Source organism: Homo sapiens, chromosome 12 (assembly GCF_000001405.40).
Source record: "Homo sapiens chromosome 12, GRCh38.p14 Primary Assembly".
NCBI classification, from domain to species: domain Eukaryota; kingdom Metazoa; phylum Chordata; class Mammalia; order Primates; family Hominidae; genus Homo; species Homo sapiens.
The window spans coordinates 121,374,133-121,396,599 of record NC_000012.12 but is presented as its reverse complement, the minus strand read 5'-3'; the positions used below and the strand labels follow the sequence as shown (position 1 = coordinate 121,396,599).

Sequence of the window (22,467 nt, the reverse complement as noted above, 5' to 3'; positions counted from 1 at the left end):
TAAATTGTATAATTTAAACGGGTGTATTATATGGTATGTGAATTATATCTCAATAAAGCTGTTAATATTGAGGAACACAAAAAGAAGAGTTAATGCAGCTGGAAAGTGGCCACAGAAGGACAATGAAAACAACAAAGGCTAGGGAGAAACTTAAGTATCAGGGGAAAATTTAAAACAGTGCAATACTTGGGAAGACTTGTCTTATTTTGTCCCCAGCACACAGATCTGTACCTAGCATAAGCAAGCTCCCAGTAAATTGTGTTTGGTTTTTTGTTGTTGCTGTTGTTTTTGAGAGAGTCTCCCTCTGTCACCCAGGCTGGAGTGCGGTGGTACAATCTCTGCTCACTGCAAGCTCTGCCTCTCAGGTTCAAGTGATTCTTCTACCTCAGCCTCCCGAGTATCTGGGATGACAGGTGCATGCCACACATCCGGGTAACTTTTTTATTTTTAGGAGAGATGAGGTTTCACCATGTTGGCCAGGCTGGTCTCAAACTCCTGACCTCAAGTGATCTGCCCACTTTGGCCTCCCAAAGTGTTGGGATTACAGGCGTGAGCCACCGTGCCCAGCTGAATTGTATTTTTTTTTTTTTTTTTGAGACGGAGTCTCGCTCTGTCGCCTAGGCTAGAGTGCAGTGACGCGATCTTGGCTCATTGCAACCTCTACCTCCCAGGTTCAAGTGATTCTCATGACTCAGCCTCCCGAGTAGTAGCTGGGGTTACAGGTGTGCACCACCATGCCCAGCTAATTTTTGTATTTTTAGTAGAGGGGTTTCACCATTTTGCCCAGGCTGGTCTCCAAGTCCTAGCCTCAAGAGATCCCCCTGCCTCAGCCTCCCAAAGTGTTGGGATTACAGGCATGAGCCACCACACCCACCCATCAATAAAAGTTTGAGTGAATACTTTTTTTTCTGGAAGGTGGAGAAGGAAAATGATTTAAAAAAAAAAAACATAAGGGAGTAAATAGGTTACACATGAGTTTACAATGCCTACCTACCTGAAGTTGGGACCTTCTGAAGTTGAGAGAGATTTGTGCTTAAATATCACTCTTTTTTCAATGAAAGAGATGCATTTTGTGATCATAGTTTTTTCTTTGTTTCAAATTTTATATAATGACCCTCTTTTTTTTTTTTTTTTTTTTTTTTTGAGATGGAGTCTTGCTCTGTCGCCCAGGCTGGAGTGCAGTGATGCAATCTCAGCTCACTGCAAGCTCCACCTCCGGGGTTCACGCCATTCTCCTGCCTCAGCCTCCTGGGTAGCTGGGACTACAGGCGCCCACCACCACGCCAGGCTAATTTTTTGTATTTTTAGTAGAGACAGGGTTTCACTGTGTTAGCCAGGATGGTCTCGATCTCCTGACCTCGTGATCCGCCAGTCTCAGCCTCCCAGAGTCCTGGGATTACAGGCGTGAGCCAGCATGCCCGGCCAATGACCCTCCTCTTTCAATTGTGTACTAATTGTATCAATTGTGGTTCAGGAAATTTTTGTCTGTTAAGTTATGATCATAACAACCTAATACTTTGTATTTCAGAGACAAAAAGTAGGAATGCCAAGACACATGGGATAATTTATTGCAACTCAATGCAATTGAGGATGCATTGGATCCTTAGGATGTAGTGGGGCCATTTTCTGAGTTGTTTCTTTTTAGCACCTCAAAAAATTATTTTATTGAATTCACAATGTGCTGAAAGTCAAATAATTTCAAACCTCTCTCAATGTCAAGAAGAAGCAAAAGTTCCACTATCTAAATTTTTGAGGCCTGGCATGGTAGCTCACTCCTGTAATCCCAGCACCTTGAGAGGCCCAGTAGGGGGTTCGCCGAGCCCAGGAGTCTGAGACCAGCCTAGGCAACATAGGGAGACCCCATCTCTGCAAAACACACACACAAAAATTAGCTGGGTATGGTGGCACGCACCTGTGGTCCCAGCTACTTGGGAGGCTGAGGTGGGAGGATCATGTGGGCCTGGGAGGTCACGGCTATAGTGAGCCATGATTGTGTCACTGCACTCCAGCCTAGGTGACAGAGTAAGACCCTATCTCAAATACACAATTAGGTTGGGCACGGTCTCTCACACCTATAATCCCAGCACTTTGGGAGGCCGAAGTGGGACCACCACTTTCAGGCAGGAGAACAGGGTCTGGAGACAGGGAGCCTAAGGCCAACCTGCAGCAGACTTCTTGGAACTGGACCAGAAGGAAAACCCCACCTCTCCATGCCCAAGTGATAAGGGGCCAGAGGCTCCTCCCTCTACAAAATCCCCTCTCCCTTAGGTCACAAACAGTAAATGCCTCTAATTGGTAGAGGGCCAAGCCTTCACTTCAGCCTTTGATTGGTTGTGGGCAAATCCTTCATTGGCATAGGATGTAAGCAATTGGAAGCCTCTAAAGGGTACCTAGGGATGTTGCAAAATTCTTTTAGTTTAATAAAAACCCTAAACAACATTGCAGCTGGGGCTCTTGAGCTGCTTGCTTGAGTCCGCTCCCACTCTGTGGAGTGTACTTTCATTTCAATAAATCTGTGCTTTTGTTGCTTCATTCTTTTGTTGCTTTGTGCATTTTGTTCAATTCTTTGTTCAACGTGCCAAGAACCTGGACAACTCACAATCAAGACTTTCCATTCGGTAACAGCTTGAGCCCAGGAGTTGGACACCAGCCTGGGCAACATAGTGAAACCCTGTCTCTACAAAAAATAAAAAATTAGCCAGGTGTGGTGGTGCACGGCTGTGGTCCCAGCTACTCAGGAGGCTGAGACAGGAGGATTACTTGAGCCCAGGAATGTGAGACTGCAGTGAGCCGTGATTGTGTCACCGCACTCCAACCTGGACGATAAAACAAGACCTTGTCTCAAAAAAAACTAATAAGTCCAGGTGCAGTGGCTCATGTCTGTAACTCATGACTTGAGAGGCCAAGGCAGGCAGGTAACTTGAGCCGAGGAGTTCGAGATCAGCCTGGGCTCTACAAAAAACACAAAAAATTAACTGGGCATGGTGACAGGAGCCTGTAGTCCCAGCTACTCCAGAGACTCAGGTTGGAGGATCACCTGAGCTCTGGAGGTTGAGACTGCAGTTAACCGTGTTTGCACCACTGCATTCCTACTTGAGTGAGAAAGTGAGACCCTGTTTCAAAAAATAATAATAATTAAATTTTTGTAAGTTACTGAATAATCTTTTTCAACATGATGTGTACTTAAAAGACAACAGGCCAGGCGCAGTGGCTCACGCCTGTAATCCTAGCACTTTGGGAGGCCAAGGCGAGTGGATCACGAGGTCAGATCGAGACCATCCTGGCTAACACGGTGAAACCCTGTCTCCACTAAAAATCGAAAAAGAAATTGGCTGGGTGTGGTGGCAGGCACCTGTAGTCCCAGCTACCCAGGAGGCTGAGGCAGGAGAATGGTGTGAACCCAGGAGGCGGAGCTTGCAGTAAGCCGAGATCACGCCACTGCACTCCAGCCTGGGCGACAGAGCAAGACTCCTCAAAAAAAAAAAAAAAAAAAGAGTATTTGGCCGGGTGCGGTGGCTCACGCCTGTAATCCCAGCACTTTGGGAGGCCGAGACTGGTGGATCATGAGGTCAGGAGATCGAGACCATCCTGGCTAACATGGTGAAACCCCATCTCTACTAAAAATACAAAAAAATTAGCAGGGTGTGGTGGTGGGCGCCTGTAGTCCCAGCTACTTGGGAGGCTGAGGCAGGAGAATGGCGTGAACCCGGGAGGCGGAGCTTGCAGTGAGCCGAGATGGTGCCACTGCACTCCAGCCTGGGTGACAGAGCAAGACTCTGTCTCAAAAAAAAAAAAAAAAAAAAAAAAGACAATAGGGTAGAAGGCTTTATTATTATCCTAACAATGGAATCACCCAATGATAACAAGTCATAGAAGGCAGATAATATGCCTTTTTAAAAGTTGGTTAGCAACTTGCTGTATTAAGCCATTTCTTATTCTGGAAAATGTCAAACATATTTAAAGTAAATAGAATAATACAATGAACCCTCACATACCCATCACCCAGTTTTAACAGTTCTCTACATTCTGCCATTCGTGTCTCATCTCCAGCACGTGTACCTCTCTACCCATGCCCCACCACTCTCCCATCTAAGCTCAACTGCATCATCATTAGACGAGTGCCCAACTCTGGTTGCCTAGATATGAGCCAGATCAAAATATTTGAGAATTGGATCTGGTTTGCTATGTTTTTATTTATCCTTGGTCAATTTAACAAATATAACTATTTTACCTACTCAAGGTAATCCATCTTTTTTGGACTCATTGCATAAGTTTTATAATTTAAAAGATCAAATAAACTCTCTAACCATCCCTGCTTAACCTGAGTTTGCAAATGCCAAAGTTGTAGATAGGTCATAAAGTTGACTCACTGGTAGAAATGACGAAGTATCTCTTCATCTGAATGCTTAAACCAGCTCCCATCTGAATCCAGACTGTGATTGACTTCCGCTACAGTAAAGATGGTTTCAACAATACTTATTGCACTTTAGAGAAACATCTCTGCAGCTGGAGAACAGATGGCTCCCCAGAATCATTTTCTTTTGGACTGATAGCATCTTTTTGGAATTCTGCCAGTGAATTATGCTGTCAACTCGTACATGTAATCTTCTTCTGCCTTACGTCTCTCCCTCTGTAAAATGGAGAAAATGGTTGTGAACCGGGAACTTATGTCTTCAACTTTGCCAAATAGCTGAAGAATCCTGAAAGTGAAACAGAAACAGAACTTTCTGTGGTTCCCAGGCCAGGCACGGTAGCTCATGCCTATGTCCCAACACTTTGGAGGCTGAGGCGGGCAGATCACTTGAGTTCAGGAGTTTGAGACCAGCCTGGCCAACATGGTGAAACCCTGTCTCTACTACAAATACAAAAATTAGGCTGGCATGGTGGTGCGTGCCTGTAATCCCAGCTACCCAGGAGGTTGAGGCATGACAATCACTTGAATCCAGGAGGCGAAGGTTGCAGTGAGCCGAGATCATGCCACTGCACTCCAGCCTGGGTGACAGAACGAGACTCTGTGTCAAATAAATAAATTAAAAAAAAAAAAGGCCAGGCATGGTGGCTCATGCCTGTAATCCCAGCACTTTGAGAGGCCAAGGCGGGCAGATCACGAGGTCAGGAGTTCGAGACCAGCCTGGCCAAGATGGTGAAACCCCATCTCTACTAAAAATACAAAAATTAGCTGGGTGCGGTGGTGGGCACATGTAATCCCAGCTACTCGGGAGGCTGAGGCAGAATTGCTTGAACCCGGGAGGCAGAGGTTGTAGTGAGCTGAGATCATACCACTGCACTCCAGCCTGGGCCACAGAGCAAGACTGTCTCGAAAAACAAAATAAAATAAATAAATAAATAAATAAAGTGGTTTCCAGAGAGTGAGACAAATAACACAGGGCCAATTGATATTTCTCTGAAGTTGGAGCACTTTACAGGCTTTTTCTCCAATAACCCTCCTTAGCAGGCAGAAAGGAGAAAGGGTTTTCTTCTTTTCATGGCTTGGGAAGGTGAGCTGTCTTGCCTGAGGCTCAGTGAGGCAGTGATGAAAGAAGAGCTGCCAACTCTCCTATCCCCAGTCCAGCATGATGCTCACCAGAATTACGATTCTTCCAATAAAAAGACAGACCTTCCAAAACAAGTTCATTCTTATACAGTAAATCTACATTCATATACGTCTTAGTCCATTGGTGTTGCTATAAAGGAACACTTGAGACTGAGTAATTTAAAAAGAAAATAGGTTTATTTGCAGGGCTGGGGGAAATGGCTCACACCTGTAATACCAGCACTTTGGGAGGCTCAAATGGGAGGATCACTTGAGCCCAAGTTTTATAGACCAGCCTGGGCAACACAGCAAGATTCAGTCTGTAAAATCTACCAGTGAGTCGATTTTATGACCTATCTCCAACTTTGACATTTGCAAACTCAGGTTAAGCAGGGGGTTGGTTAGCCAAGCGTGATGGCACATACCCATAGTTCTCACTACTTGGGAGGCTGAGGCCAGAGGATCACTTGACCTCAGGAACTGCAGGCCATCCTGGACAAGAGAGAGAGACACCGGCTCTAAAAAATAATAAGTAAATAAATAAAAATTTAAAAGTTTGCCAGGTTCTCATCTTGTTAACCGTTGTATCATAGTATGGTTTTGCTTGAACGGAGTCTCACTAAGATCTAGAAATTCTGAACTTAATAATGAGTCCCGGCAGAGCACAGTACCTCATGCCTGTAATCCCTGCACTTTGCGAGGCCCAGGCAGGCGGATCACCTGAGGTCAGGAGTTTGAGACCAGCCTGACCAACATGGTGAAACCCTGTCTCTACTAAAAATACAAAAAATTAGCAAGGCTTGGTGGCAGGCACCTGTAATACCAGCAACTCTGGAGGCTGAGGCAGAATTGCTTGAACCTGGGAGGTGGAGGTTGCAGTGAGCAGAGGTCCTGCCACTGCACTTCAGCCTAGGCAACAGAGTGACACCTCGTCTCAAAAAAAAAAAAAAAAGAGTCCATCATTTGCTATAAAGTTTTTGAGCTAGAAGGGCCCTTCAAGGTCACTTTATGTACTTTCTCAATTTACATTGACAAAGTGCCTCCCAGAAGAGTTAAGTGTGCTCAGGATCACACATCTAGCTACAGGCAAAGATGGGACCAGAAGCCAAGTCTGACCTCTTAAACGCATGCTTTTTGCTGGCAACTTTGGAAAAACTCCAACCATTCTTTGCTCTAAATTCAAAGACAACCCAGGCTTCAAAGACGGAAACTATCTGATGACTCCTTGATAAGGATGTTGGGAATTTACCTGGACAAATCTTATACTCCAAACTACAGTAAATTCTAAACCAGAAAAGGGTTTAAACATATTTTTTAGAAAACTAAGAGAAAGCATATCATGTCTATTTCAGATATAACATGAAATAGATTTCAGATTTCTTTTCTTCTTAAAAAATTTTTTGGCCAGGCTCAGCGGCTCATGCTATAACCCCAACACTTCGGGAGGCTGAGGTGGGCAGATCACCTGAGGTTGGGAGTTCGAGACCAGCCTGACCAACATGGAGAAACCCCGTCTCTACTAAAAATACAAAGTTAGCCGGGTGTGGTGGTGCATGCCTGTAATCCCAGCTACTCAGGAGGCTGAGGCAGGAGAATCACTTGAACCTGGGAGGCAGAGATTGTGGTGAGCCGTGATCACACCGCTGCACTTCAGCCTGGGCAACAAGAGCAAAACTCCGTCTCAATAAATAAATAAATAAATAAATAAATAAATAAATTTTTTGAGTCAGGATCTTACTCTGTCACCCAGGCTGGCGTGCAGTGGCACCATGATGGCTCACTGCAGCCTTGACCTCCTGGGCTTAAGCAATCCTCCTGCCTAAGCCTCCTGAGTAGCTGGTATTACAGATGTGCACCATCACATCCAGCTAATTTATTATTATTTTTTGTAGAGACGGGGTCTCCCTATGTTTCCCAGGATGGTCTTAAACTTCTGGGCTCAAGCACTCCTCCTGTCTCAGCCTCCTAATGTGTTGTGATTACAGGCGTGAGCCACCGTGCTGGGCCACCTACTCTACTCTCTCGGTTTTCCTTCTGTCTCTCTGAGCAATTTCTTCTCCATCTCCTCTACCCACCCTTCAAGTTTTGGTGTTGATACAAGTATTGCAGGCCTTTCCACTTCTCACTCGACAGATTCTTCTGGATGACCTCACCCTGTACTCCAGATAGGTAACCATTCTCAGGAATTCCCTGTCTAGGTCTGTATATGGGTCTCCTGAGCCTCTGCCAATCCGTCTCTTCCCTGCGTTTCAGATTTGTCAGCTCAGTACCCACTTCCTTCCAACCCATGCTCCTCTTCCTGGGTTCCCTACCATGCTCTATGGCACCATGCTAGAGAACTGCAAGTCATCCTTGACTTTGCCTTTGAGCAGCTCTAGCCCTGTGCACCACTCACATCCATCTACTTCTTCATCCCCTTGGCCCATGGCTCTTACTGTTTCTCTTGCTTCATTGCAGCTGCAGGAGCTTGAGCTCCAATCTGCACTACCCCACCACCCCCACCACCTGCTTAGTCATCCCCACTTCTGGTTTGCTCTCTATCCTGAGGACAAAAGCCTCTTTACACGAAAAGTCTGACTTTGTCTTTTCCTGTTTAAATTCCTTTGGGATGGTGGGGCAAGGCGGCTCATGCCTGTAATCCCAGTACTTTGGGAGGCTGAGGTGGGCAGATCAGTTGAGGCCAGGAGTTCAAGACTAGCGTGGCCAACATGGTGAAACCCTGTCTCTACTTAAAATACAAAAATTAGCCAGGCATGGTGACGCGCACATGTAATCCCAGCTACTTGGGAGGCTGAGGCAGGAGAATCACTTGAACCCGGGAGGCAGAGGGTGCAGTGAGCCAAGATCTCACTCATAAATGTGTGTGTGTGTGTATATATATACACACACACACACATTTATTCCTTTAGGGTTTCCCAATGGCCTCATGAAAAAGTCCAAATTTATTAAAATAGTGTTACAGGGTCCTTTATCGTCCATTCCCTGCTCACCCCTCCAGGCCTACTTCCCACCACCCTCACCTCACAACCTCCACTGTAACCATACTGAACTGCTTGCAGTGCCCCAGTGGGTCATACTCTCCTACCTCTGGGCCTTTGCACAGGCAAGCTCTTTTGAGATGTAAATTCCCCATCTCTTCCAAGTTCAGAGGAAGCGCTTCATTGGCTTCCTGGACTGGCTATCTTTAATCAACCTTTAGCTACCAGCTCTGTAGACTTTCTCAAGGAGCTGTACTCTTAACTCCTAAAGTTGTCAGGCACACTGATACACATGTACATCATACACGATACTCACTGTCATACCGTATTATAATCGCTATTTTGCTACCTTGGTTTTTCTTTTCTGCTTTTTTTTTTAAATTGAAGTGCAATTAAGGTATAATAAAATGCACGAAACTTAAGTGTTCAGTTCAGTGAGTTTTGCTTTTGTTTTGAGACAGAGTCTCCCTCTGTCACCCAGGCTGGAGTTCAGTGGCGCAATCTCGACTCACTGCAACCTCCGCCTCCCAAGTTCAAGTGATTCTCCTGCCTCAGCCTCCCAAGTAGCCGGGATTACAAGCGTGTGCCACCATGCCTGGCTAATTTTTGTATTTTTAATAGAGATGGGGTTTCACCATCTTGGCCAGGCTGGTTTCGAACTCCTGACCTCATGTGATCTTCCTGCCTGTGTTGGGATTACAGGCGTGAGCCACCGCACCTGGCCACTTTGGTGAGTTTTGATGACTGAATACATTCATGTACTCACCCAGAACAAAATAAGAACATTTCTGTCATCCCAGAAATGTGTGTGTTTGTGTGTGTCTGTGTCTGTTCCTCTCTAGTCAACATCTCCTCCCATCCACAAATGCAGCCCACTGTGTAACTGGTTACTTGTCTGGATAGACTTTACACTCCATGAGGGCAGTTACCATGTCTACCTTCTTTTTGTTGCCCAAGCTGGAGTTCAGTGGCACAAACATGGCTCACCACAGCCTTAACCTCCTAGGCTCAAGCAATCCTCCTGCCTTAGCCTCCTGAGTAGCGGGGACCATAGGCACATGCCACCATACCCAGACAATTATTGAAAAAAGTTTTGTGAGACAGGGTCTCCCTATGGTGCCTAAGTTGATCTCAAACCCCTGGGCTCAAGTGTTCCTCCCACCTCAGCCTCCCAAAGTGCTGGGATTACAGGTGTGAGCCACCACACCTGGCCTTCATCTTCTTTATACATTTCAAAACCTAGCACATAATAGACAACTTAATAAATATGAATGAATGCATAGAATATTGATAGAATGGATAGAAAACTGCTGGGTATGGTGGCTCACGCCTGTAATCCCAGCACTTTGGGAGGCCGAGGTGGGCAGATCACCTGAGGTTGGGAGTTCGAGACCAGCCTGACCAACATGGAGAAACCCCGTCTCTACTATAAATACAAAATCAGCCGGGCGTGGTGGCAGATGCCTGTAATCCCAGCTACTCAGGAGGCTGAGGCAGGAGAATCGCTTGAGCCCGGGTGATGGAGGTTGCAATGAGCCAAGATCGTGCCATTGCACTTCAGCCTGGGCAACAAGAGTGAAACTCTGTCTCAAAAAAAGAAAAAAAAAAAAAGAAAACTGCAGTGATTACATTAATTTATTGGGATATTTTAGAGATTAACATCACTGACTGTAATAAAAATAGTTAAGAGGCAAAATATAGAAGTCTCCTGTCTCCTTGAGCCTTTGTTCACCCCTGTGCTGGTAATGAGACCTTTCTGTTGAAGTTACAATTCAAGGATTAGGCATTCCATCCCCAATAACAGTTGGCAAAAGTCAAAATAAATATTTTTGGATTCCACAAAATTTGAATTTCACACTGAAGTGATTCAATTTTAAAACATATTTACTTCAAGTCAAGTGTCCAAGTACCATATAAGTAATATCATCTCAAACAGCTACAGAAATGTGAAAATACATTTCAGACATTCACCAACAGACGTCACTGATACGTTGCAGTTATCGTATTTAGCATAAGCTTCAGGTATTAAAAGTAGGCCAGGTGCGGTGGTTCACGCCTGTAATCCCAGCATTTTGGGAGGCCAAGGCGGGCAGATCACTTCAGGTGTGGAGTTTGAGACCAGCCTGTTCAACATGGTGAAACCCTGTCTCTACTAAAAATACAAAAATTAGCCGGGCATGGTGGCGCATACCTGTAATCCCAACTACTTGGGAGGCTGAGGCACAAGAATTGCTTGAACCTGGGGAGGCAGAGGTTGCAGTGAGCCGAGATCACACCACTGCACTCCAGCCTGGATGACAGAGTGGGATTCTGTCTCAAAAAAAAAAAAATGTAGATTAAGTCAACTCTCCCCACCCTCTTGAGAAGTGCTGACAAGGTCGAGAAGACGATAAATGGGACTAAGCCTTTTTTCAAAGATCATAATCAACACATTTATTAAAACCTTGATTGTGTGTAGTGCTATGCCATGCTAAATGATTCACACAGAGAATTAGCTAAACCTTGCCTCTCTCCTCTAACAGTTTACAATCCAAGGCAGACAGGCTGACGCTCTTGCACATTTATAGCCAAATTAGACAGACGCAATGAAATACGAACATTATCAACTGATAAATGAATAAAGTAGACATTCAGGGAAGGAGACATTCAGATGGTTGTGATAAGAAGAGTTGCCTTGAAAATTCCAATTTCAGACTATGCAGGATAAAAAGATTAGTACTCTTATCCATCACCACCTTCATTTACAATCATGTAAGAATATACATGTGCCTAGGCTGGGCACGGGGGGCTCATGCCTGTTATCCCAGCACTTTGGGAGGCCGAGGTGGGTGGATCACAAGGTCAGGAGTTAGAGACCAGCCTGACCAACATGGTGAAACCCCATTTCTAGTAAAAATACAAAAATTAGCCAGGCATGGTGGCGTGCGCCTGTAATCCCAGCTACTCAGGAGGCTGAGGCAAGAGAATTGCTTGAACCCGGGAGACAGAGGTTGCGAAGAGCCGAGATTGCACCATTTGCACTGCAGCCTGGGCAACAGAGTGAGACCCCATCTCAAAAAAAAAAAAAAAAAAGAGATACATGTGCCTAATAATTGTTCCCAAAAATGTCAACCTTTGTCCATCCTCATTCTGAAACCCTTACACCTTCTAGAGTCACAATACTTGTAGCAGTACTTTTTTTTTTTCTTTTTGAGACAGGCTCTTGCTCCATTGCCCAAGCTAGAGTGCAGTGGCAAGATCATGGCTTACTGCAGCATTGACCTTCCTGGCTCAAGTGATCTTCCCCCCTCAGCCTCCTGAATAGCTGGGACTACAGACACCATGCCTGGCCCGTTTTTTTTTTTTTTTTTTTTGTAGAGACAAGATCTCACTATGTTACCCAGACTGGTCTCAGACTCCTGGCCTCAAGCAATCCTCCTGCCTCGCCCTCCCAAAGTGGTGGGATTACAAGCATGACCCACCATTCCTGGCTGCCTGTAGTAATTTTGTAAGACTATAATTTCAAATGGTATTCTTGAACACACATCTGACTATGTCTTTGCTAAAAGGTTAATAAAATAGCCTTTTCTTTTCAGCACTGCTGCCAAGATTTCCAAAACAGCTCTTTTCATCTTGTATTGAATTTTTTTTTGTTTCAACTGATTCAATTCTATTTAATTCTTATCTCCCCTACTTCAACTTTTTTTTTTTTTTTTTTTTGAGACAGAGTTTCGCTCTTGTTGTCCAGGCTGGAGTGCAATGACAAGATCTCAGCTCACTGCAACCTCCACCTCCCAGGTTCAAGCAATTCTCCTGCCTCAGCCTCCTGAGTAGCTGGGACTACAGGTGCACACCACCACACTCGGCTAATTTTCATGGTTTTTTTAGTAGAGACGGGGTTTCTCCATGTTGGCCTGGCTGGTCTCGAACTCTTGACCTCAGGTGATCCACCTGCCTTGGCCTCCCGAAGTGCTGGGATTACAGGCCTGAGCCACACCACCTGCTGAAGCTAATTCTTTAGAATGGCCCCTTTAATTTGAATGGCTAATTATTACACCATTAGACGCTTGAAAAAAATACTTTTGGCCAGGCGCGGTGGCTCAGCAGTACACATATGCAGGTGTGTATATTGATATGACACTCATAGAAGAGTTCTAGGAATTTGCTCGATATGTTTATAGCTGGGTGTGAACTGATAGTCCCGAAGCTGAAAGTGGAAACTCCAGTACCTAGATTCAGATCCATGTTTCAAGTCGCTCTGAATATCACTTTTTTTTTTGTTTGAGACAGGGTCTTGCTCTGTTGCCTAGGCTGGAGTGCAGTGGCACAGTCACGGCTCACTACAGCCTCCACCCCTGGGCTCAAGCGATCCTCCTGCCTCAGCCTCCTGATTAGCTGGAACCACCAGTGGGCGCCACCACACCTGGCTAATTTTTGTAATTTTTGTCGAGATGGAGTTTTGCCCTCTTGCCCAAAATGGTCTGGAACTCCTGGGCTGAAGCAATTCTCCCACCTCAGCCTCCCAAAATGCTGAGATTACAGGCCTAAGCTACCACACCTGCCTGAAAATTATCTTTAAAATGACCTCAGATGCCTGGCTGAGTAATGTGTAGGTACTAGAATAGGCACAGGGGTGCCATAAAAAATGTTAGTAGATGAATGACATAATCCAAGTTTCTTGGTTTTCGTTGTTTTTCCTGTAAATGAATGACCCCTAATAGAAATTTTCAGTTCATGACTGTTAATGGGGATGGGGGAGAAATGTCCAGATCTGTTGTAATCCTTAGCTTTCTAAAATTCTTGCCCAGCCTCTAAAGCACTGCTCTCCAAATCTTATTATGTCTAAGAATAGAAATATCCTGGAGCGCTGACCTGATAGAAGTATTTTTCAGTTGTTTGATAGTGTTCACCTCGACTCTTATTAGAAGAGAGGGTAGCAAAGATTGGGATGCCTTTCCAAAAATATCGAAGCCTTTATCCAATATGGAATCACTGTCCCACAGCAGTGAGAATTACCTTAAGCAAAGTTATCTTGCTTAGAAAGTTGACTATAAAGACGGCTATGAGGACCGAAATCTTAATTTTCTTTTTTTTTTCTGATTACAAAAGGAAAATGCATTATTGTAGAAATATAGAAAAGTGTACAAAAGAATATTAAAATTACGATTCCACTACTTAAAGATAAGCAGTACCAGCATTTTGATGTACATCTGACAATTACAACAGCCAGACTTAACATTTACTGAGTCTTCTAATTTTTTTTTTTTTTGAGAAAGAGTCTTGCTCTGTCGCCCAGGCTGGAGTGCAGTGGCGGCATCTCAGTTCACTGCAAGCTCCACCTCCCCGGTTCACGCCATTCTCCTGCCTCAGTCTCCCCAGCAGCTGGGACTACAGGCGCACGCCTCCATGCCCAGCTAATTTTTTGTATTTTCAGTAGAGACGGGGTTTCACCGTGTTAGCCAGGATGGTCTCCATCTTCTGACCTCGTGATCCGCCCACCTTGGCCTCCCAAAGTGCTGGGATTACAGGCGTGAGCCACCGTGCCCATCCGAGTCTTCCAATTTTTAAAAAGTATGCTGGCCAGAGGCCGGGCATGGCACACAGCTGTAGTCCCAGCTACTCGGGAGGCTGAGGCAGGAGGATTGTTTGAGCCTAGGAGGCAGAGGTTGCAGTGAGCCGAGATTGTGCCACTGCACTCCAGCCTGGGCAACAGAGCTCGACTCCTTCTCAAAAAAAAGAAAAAAAAAAAAGCTAAGCACTATGCGTTAGAACACAGATGTTCTCATTATTTTAAAGACATGGGGGTCTTGCTATGTTGTCCAGGCTACATTCAAATTTTTCCAGAGAATGGGTGTATCAATTTGCATTTCTATTGGTTTTGTATAGAAACAGCCCAATTCTCTGCACTCTGATCAGCGCTTATTAATTTACTCAAATCTTGGCCAATACTGTGTCTATTTTATTTATTTATTTGAAATAGGATCAAGCTGGGCATGGTGGCTCATGTCTATAATCCCAGCACTTTGAAAGGCCGAGGTAGGCAGATCACCTGAGGTCAGGAATTCAAGACCAGCATATAGCCAACATGGTGAAACCCCATCTCTACTAAAAATACAAAAATTAGCCGGGCATGGTGGCAGGCAACTGTAATCCCAACCCTAATCCCTCTAATATTCTGGAGGCTGAGGCAAAAGAATTGCTTGAACCCAGGAGGTGGAGGTTGCAATGAGCAGAGACAGTGCCACTGCACTCCAGCCTGGGAGACAAAGCGAGACTCCGTCCCCACCCCCCCAAAAAAAAAGAAATAGAATCTTACTCTGTCACCCAGGCTGCAGTGCAGTGGCACAATTACAGCTCACTGCAGCCTCAAACTCCTGGTTTCAAGCAATCCTCCCACCTCAGCCTCCTGAGTAGCTGGGACTATAGGTACGTGCCACCACATCTGGCTAATTAAAAAAAAAAAATTTTTTTTGAGACAGAGTATCACTCTTTCACCCAGGCTTGAGTGCAGTGGTGCGATCTCTGCTCACTGCAACCTCCACCTCCTCGGTTCAAGTGATTCTCACGCCTCAGCCTCCCCAGTAGCTGAGATTACAGGTGCCTGCCACCATGCCCGGCTAATTTTTGTATTTTAGTAGAAATGGGGTTTCACCATGTTGGCCAGGCTGGTCTCTAACTCCTGACGTCAAGTGACCCACCTGCCTCAGCCTCACAGCATGTTGGGATTACAGGCATGAGCCACCACGCCCGGCCAAAAATTTTTTTTTGTAGAGGTAGAGTTTTGCTATGTTTCCCAGGCTGGTCTTGAACTCCTGACCTCAAGCAACCCTCCTGCCTCAGCCTCCCAAAGTGTTGGGATTACAGGTATGAACCACCATGCCTGGCTTTCTGAGTCTAAATAATGGCATTTTTCTTATTTTGATTTGCATTTCTTTTATTTTTGGTAGAGTTAAACATTTTTCTTTTTCTTTCCCTCCCATCTTTATTGAGGTGTAATTGACAAATAAAAACTGTATATATTCACGGTGTACAATATGTTTTGATATATTTATACACTGTAAAATGATCACCACAGCCAGGCGTGGTGGCTTATGCCTGTAATCCCAGCACTTTGGGAGGCCGATGCGGGCGGATCACCTGAGGTTGGGAATTCGAGACCAGCCTGACCAACATGGAGAAACCCCGTCTCTACTGAAAATACAAATTCAGCCAGGCGTGGTGGCCCATGCCTGTAATCCCAGCTACTTGGGAGGCTGAAGCAGGAGAATCGCTTGAACCCGGGAGGTGGAGGTTGCAGTGAGCCCAGATGGCACCACTGCACTCCAGCCTGGGCAACAAGAACAAGAGCGAAACTCGTTGTCAAAAAAAGATCACCACCGAAAGGCTAATTAACATATCCACCACCTCATGTAATTACCGTTTTTTGGTGGCAAGAACACTAAGTTCTACTGTGTTAGAAAATGTCAAGTATACAATACATTGTTATTATTATTTATTATTATTTTTTTGAGACGGAGTCTTGCTTTGTCGCCCAGGCTGGAGTGCAGTGGCACAATCTTGGCTCACTGCAAGCTCCACCTCCCTGGTTCACGCCATTCTCCCGCCTCAGCCTCCCGAGTAGATGGGACTACAGGCGCCCGCCACCATGCCTGGTTAATTTTTTGTATTTTTAGTAGAAATGGGGTTTCACCATGTTAGCCAGGATGGTCTTGATCTCCTGACCTCGTGATCCACCCGCCTTGGCCATCCAAAGTGCTGGGATTACAGACGTGAGCCACCGCGCCCGGCCTACATTATTATTAGTTACGGTTACCATATGCTATATTTTTGATCTCCAGAATTTATTTATCTTATAATTGAAACTTTCCTTTGACCAAAATTCTCCTGTTTCTCCCTCCCTATGGCTCTTGTCAACCAACCTACTCTCGTTTCTATGAGTTAGACTTCTTTGGATACCACACATAATGAGATCATGCAGTGTTTATCTTGAGTTGAACTTTTTTTTTCCATCAAGCCAATTGTTTTAGCGTCTTTATGTATTTTAGAAACAAATGAGAATTGTAATGTCAAGGCCTTCAGCATTGACTAGTTTGGAGCTAACTCTTAGAATACAAAAAGGTAGTTCCTGGCCGCGCACAGTGGCTCACGCCTGTAATCCCAGAACTTGGGAGGCTGAGGCAGATGGATCACTTGAGGTCAGGGGTTCAAGACCAGCCTGGCCACCATGGTGAAACACCATCTCTACTAAAAATATAAAAATTAGCCAGGCACAGTGGCACATGCCTGTATTCCCAGCTACTTGGGAGGCTGAGGCAGGAGAATCACTTGAACCTGGGAGGCAGAGGTTGCAGTGAGCTGAGATTACTCCACTGTGCTCCAGCCTGGGCAACAGAGCAAGATTCTGTTTCTTTTTTTTTTTTTTTTTTTTTTGAGATGGAATCTTGTTCTGTCATCCAGGCTGGAATGCAGTGGCACAATCTTGGTTCACTGCAGCCTCTGCTTCCGGGTTTTAAGCAATTCTCCTGCCTCAGCCTCCCCAGTAGCTGAGATTATAGGCACGCACAACCACGCCTGGCTAATTTTTGTATTTTTAGTAGAGGCGAGGTTTCACCATGTTGGCCAGGCTGGTCTCGAACTCCTGACCTCACATGATTCACCCACCTTGGCCTCCCAAAGTGCTGGGATTACAGGTGTGAGCCACAATGCCCGGCCGAGACTCTGTTTCCCAAAAAAAAAAAAAAAAAAGAAAAAAAAGGAATTAGCATTCTACTCCTAAGTATATACTCAAAAGAACTGAAAACATATACTAGAACAAATACTTGTACATGAATGTTCATAGCAGTGCTATAAACAAGAGTCAAAAGACAGATATATCCCAAATTTCCATCAACTGATGAATGGATTAAAACATTGTGGTATATATACACAACAGAATATTATTCAACCATAAGAAATGAAGTACTGATACATGTTACAACATGAATGAATCTGGGTAACATTTTACTAAGTCAAATAAGCCAGAAACGAAAGGTCACATACTGTATCACATCCCCCCCTTGTTTTTGCAGGGACAGGGTCTTGCTCTGTTGCCCAGTCTAGTCTCAAACTTCTGCCCTCAAATGATCCTCCAGCCTCTGCTTCCCAAAGTGCTAGGCTTACAGGCAGGATTCACCATGCCTGGCTGAGTCTATTTGTATGAAACGCCCGGTATAAATGAATCCATAGAGACACAAAGCACACTGGTGGTTTCCAGGGGCTGAGGAGAGTGGAGGAATAGGGAGTAATTGCTTAGTGGACACGGGGTTTCCTTTTACGGTGATGAAGAAGTTTTGAAACAAGGTAGAGGTGGTGGTTGTACATCATGGTGAATGTACTAATATTACTGAATTATTCACTTTATTTTTAAAATTTTTATTTATTCTGATGGAGTCTCACTCTGTTGCCCAGGCTGGATTGCAGTGGTGCAATCTCTCCTCACTGCAACCTCCACCTCCTGGGTTCAAGTGATTCTCCTGCCTCAGCCTCCCGAGTAGCTGGGATTACAGGTGCTCACTACCACGCCCAGCTAGTTTTTTTTTTTTTTTTTATTTTTAGTAGGCAGGCTTTTGCCATGTTGGCCAGGCTGGTCTGTTATAACTCCTGACCTCAGGTGACCCGCCTGCCTCGGCTTCCCAAAGTGCTGGGATTACAGATATGAGCACCACGCCCAGGCTGAATTATTCACTTTATTTATTTTTGAAATGTAGTCTTGCTCTGTTGCCCAGGGTGGAGTGCAGTGGTGCAATCTTGGCTCACTGCAACCTCCACCTCCCAGGTTCAAATGATTCTCCTGCCTCAGCTTCCCGAGTAGCTGGGATTACAGGTGGCCACCACCACACCTGGCTAATTTTTTTTTATTTTTAGTAGAGATGGGGTTTCACCATGTTGGCCAGGCTGGTCTTGAACTCCTGATCTCAGGTGATCTGCCCACCTTGGCCTCCCAAAGTACTGGGATTACAGATGTGAGCCACCATGCCTGGCCAAATTATTTACTTTAAAATGGTTAACTTGATGTCATATGAATTTCATCTCAATTTTTAACAAGCTAAACAAAATAAAAGAATTTGCTTTTCCACTGGGCACAGTGGCTCATACCTGTAATCCCAGCACTTTCAGAGGCCAAGGCAGGAGGATCTCTTGAGCCCAGGAATTTGAGACCAGCTTGGGCAACATAGCAAGACCCTGCCTCTACAAAAAAATTAAAAAACTAGCCACGCAAGGTGGTGCGTGCCTGTGGTCCCAGCTACTCATGAGGCTGACGTGGTAGGGTGGCTTGAGCCTGCACAGTGAAGGCTACCATGGTGATTGCACCATTGCACTCCAGCCTGGGTAACAGAGTGAGACACTCAAAAAAATTTTTTTTGGTCTTTTTTTTCATTTTGATTTTGTAAAAAGTTTGACAACTTCTCCAATATAGTGGAGCCATAGATAACATTCAAAGTATTTTTCCCCTAGCATGTTTCTATTTTCAATCTTCATTTAATCACTAGTGTTAACATGTAGAAAGTAAACCAGGCACAGTGGTTTACACTTATTATCCCAACACTTTCGGAGGCTGAGGTGGGAGGATGGCTTGAGGCCAGGAGATCAAGGCTGCAATGAGCTATAATCCTACCACTGCACTTTAGCCTGGGTGACAGAGTGAAACCCCATCTCTTAAAAGTGGAAAATTATGGGCACGATGTTGTTCGACTTAATTATACCTGAATGCTTTTCCTGAAAGAAAAAGAAAAATCATGTAATTTGAGTTCTCAGGATAATTTGTACTTAGGAAAAATCAAATCCAGAAGCTTACTACCCTTTTCCTATTACTCTAGAGTGGCTAAAGAAGAGTTAAAAGATTAGCTGGAAATTTACATTCCAAATGGATTAATTATTAACAGAGAAACAAATGAAATGTTCAATCATCTGTTCAAGACTGTTGCTTGGCACCTGTTTGCCAAATGCGCTATCTTCCTATTTATGTTTACCATTTGTGTAAGAGATTGGAATCAGGTATATTTTCAAGGTGTCTAAAATTTGAGAGGCAAGGCCCCAGAGTTTGGGTGTTCATCTCCACCCCCTCCGCACCTTCCCCACTTCCTGCCTATTCCCCAAATGTTGTCCACTGCCTATTCACCATTGGTATTTCTGAACAAAGGTTCAGAAAATATCTGGGAACGGGCTCACGCCTGCAACCCCAGCACATTGGGAGGTCAAGGCAAGAGGATCACTTGAGTCCAGGAGTTCAAGACTAACCTGGGTAACACAGTGAAACCCTGTCTCTATAAAATAAAATACAGCTGGGCATGGTGGCTCACGCCTGTAATGCCAGCACTTTAGGAGGCCAAGGCGTGTGGATTACTTGAGGTCAGGAGTTCGAGACCCGCCTGGCCAACATGGTGAAACCCTGTCCCTACTAAAAATAGAAAAAATAGTCAGATGTGGTGGTACATGCCTGCAATCCCAGCTACTCGGGAGGCTGAGACAGGAGAATTGCTTGAACCCAGGAGGCGGAGGACGCAGTGAGCCAAGAGCACGCCACTGCACTCCACCCTGGGTGACAGAGCAGGACTCCATCTCGAAAAATAAATGAATAAAGTAAGATATAAAAATAAATTTAAAGAAAAGAAAATGCCTTAGGCTGAGTGCAGTGGCTCGTACCTGCAGTCCCAGCACTTTAGGAGGCCAAGGCAAGCAGATTGCTTGAGCCTAGGAGTTTGAGACCAGCCTGGGCAACATGGTGAAACCCCGTCTCCATAAAAAATGCAAACATTTAGCTAGGCACGGTGGTTGACACCTCTTAATCCCAGCACTTTGGGAGGCCGAGGTGAACAGATTACTTCAGGTGAGGAGTTCAAAACCAGCCTAGCCAACATGATGAAACCTCATCGCCACTAAAAATACAAAAATTAGCCAGGCGTGGTGTCGCTCACCTATAATCCCAGCTACTCAGAAGACAGAAGAATCGCTTGAACCCAGGAAGCAGAGGTTGCAGTGAGCCAAGATCACGCCACTGCACTCCAGCCTGGGCAATAGAATGAGACCCCCCCCGCGCCCCACAAACAAAATACTGACAAGTACTGGGGGAAAGGGAAACAGACATACTTTGAAAGAATATATTACAAAGGAGGTAGTGATGATCAAGAATATCAAATTACTCCCCAAATTCAAGGCTAGGGGTCAGGGAGCCCTTTTACTAACTGCGATATACAAATGAAGAATCAGCGCCAGTTTGGGCTAGGCGCGGGGGCTCCCACCTGTAATCCCCTTACTTTTGTGTCCGGAAGTGGTGGGTTCTTGATCTTACTAACTTCAAGAATGAAGTGCAGACACTCGCTGTGAGTGTTACAGTTGTTAAAGGCGGCGTGTCTGGAGTTTGTTCTTTCTGATATTCCGATGTGTTCCAGAGTTTTTTCCTTCTGGTGGGTTCCTGGTCTCGCTGGCTCAGGAGTGAAGTTGCGGACCTTCGCGGTGAGTGTTAGAGCTCTTAAGGCGGCGCGTCTACAATTGTTCGTTCCTCTCGGCAGGTTCGTGGTCTCGGGGGCTTACATGAATGAAGCTTCGCAGACTTTCGCGGTGAGTGTCACAGCTCATAAAAGCAATATGGCCCCAAACAGCGAAAAAACTAAACCACCCACACACCTGAAAAACACCCCAACCGATTGTCGCTGCTGGCTCCGCAGCCTGCTTTTATTCTCTTATCTGGCCCCACACACATCCTGCTGATTGGTCCATTTTACAGAGAGCTGATTGGTCTGCTTTACAGAGAGCTGATTGGTCCATTTTGACAGGGTGCTGATTGGTGCATTTAACAATCCCTGAGCTAGACACAAAAGTTCTCCAGTTCTCCACTTCCCCGCTAGATTAGCTAGACACAGAGTGTCCATTGGTGTATTTACAAACCCTGAGCTAGACACAGAGTGCTGATTGGTGCATTTACAAACCTTGAGCTAGATACAGAGTGCCGATTGGTGCAGTCACAAACCCTGAGCAAACACAGGGTGCTGATTGGTGTGTTTACAAACCTTGAGCTAGATACAGAGTGCTGACTGGTGTATTTTCAATCCCTTAGCTAGACATAAAGGTTCTCCAAGTCGCCACCAGAATAACTAGATACAGAGTGCAGATTGGTGTGTTTACAATCCCTTAGCTAGACATAAAGATTCTCCAAGTCCCCACCAGACTCAGGAGCCCAGCTGGCTTCACCCAGTGGATCCCGCACAGGAGCTGCAGGTGGACCTGCCTGCCAGTCCTGTGCCATGTGCCCGTACTCCTCAGCCCTTGGGTGGTTGATGGGACCGGGTGCCGTGGAGCAGGAGGGACTAGCTCGGCTCGTCCGGGAGGTTCCGGCTGCCAAGGAGCTCAGGGCGGGGGGCAGGGGGTGGGGGGAGGCTCAGGCATGGCAGGCTGCAGGTCCCGAGCCCTGCCCTGCAGGGAGGCAGCTAAGGCCCATCGAGAAGTCGAGCACAGCAGCTGCTGGCCCAGGTGCTAAGCCCCTCACTGCCCAAGGCCGGCGGGGCCGGCTGGCCGCTCCGAGTGCAGGGCGCACCGAGCCCATGCCCACCTGGAACTCGCACTGGCCCGCAAGCGTGGCGCACAGCTCCGTTTCCCGCCCTCGCCTCTCCCTCCACACCTCCCCGCAAGCTGAGGGAGCCGGCTCCGGCCTTGGCTAGCCCAGAAAGGGGCTCCCACAGTGCAGCGGCAGGCTGAAGGGCTCCTCAAGTGCGGCCAGAGTGGGTGCCAAGGCTGAGGAGGCGCCGAGAGCGAGTGAGGGCTGTGAGGGCTGCCAGCACGCTGTCACCTCTCGCTTTCGGAGGCCGAGGCGGGCGAATCATGAGGTCAGGAGATCGAGATCATCCTGGCTAACACGGTGAAACCCCATCTCTATTAAAAATTAGCCAGGCGTGGTGGTGGGCGCCTGTAGTCCCAGCTACGAGGGAGGCTGAGGCAGGAGAA

The 22,467-nt window shown here is 45.9% G+C and overlaps 1 long non-coding RNA gene across 1 annotated transcript, besides 1 other annotated feature; it reads right to left on the bottom strand.

Moving 5' to 3' along the window:
• Positions 1 to 4,173: 4,173 nt before the first annotated feature.
• Positions 4,174 to 21,175, bottom strand: LOC124903037 (uncharacterized). Its single transcript, XR_007063498.1, has 2 exons — positions 20,784 to 21,175; positions 4,174 to 4,630 (listed from the first exon to the last, which is right to left on the bottom strand). It is a non-coding gene; the product is annotated as an uncharacterized LOC124903037 (long non-coding RNA).
• Positions 4,408 to 4,817: an enhancer, noted in NCBI's record as "active region_7163". NCBI's record gives its function as "activates an Ori minimal core promoter by ATAC-STARR-seq in GM12878 lymphoblastoid cells {active_cell/tissue: GM12878}" and the evidence as "EXISTENCE:reporter gene assay evidence [ECO:0000049][PMID:35858748]".
• Positions 21,176 to 22,467: the final 1,292 nt, after the last annotated feature.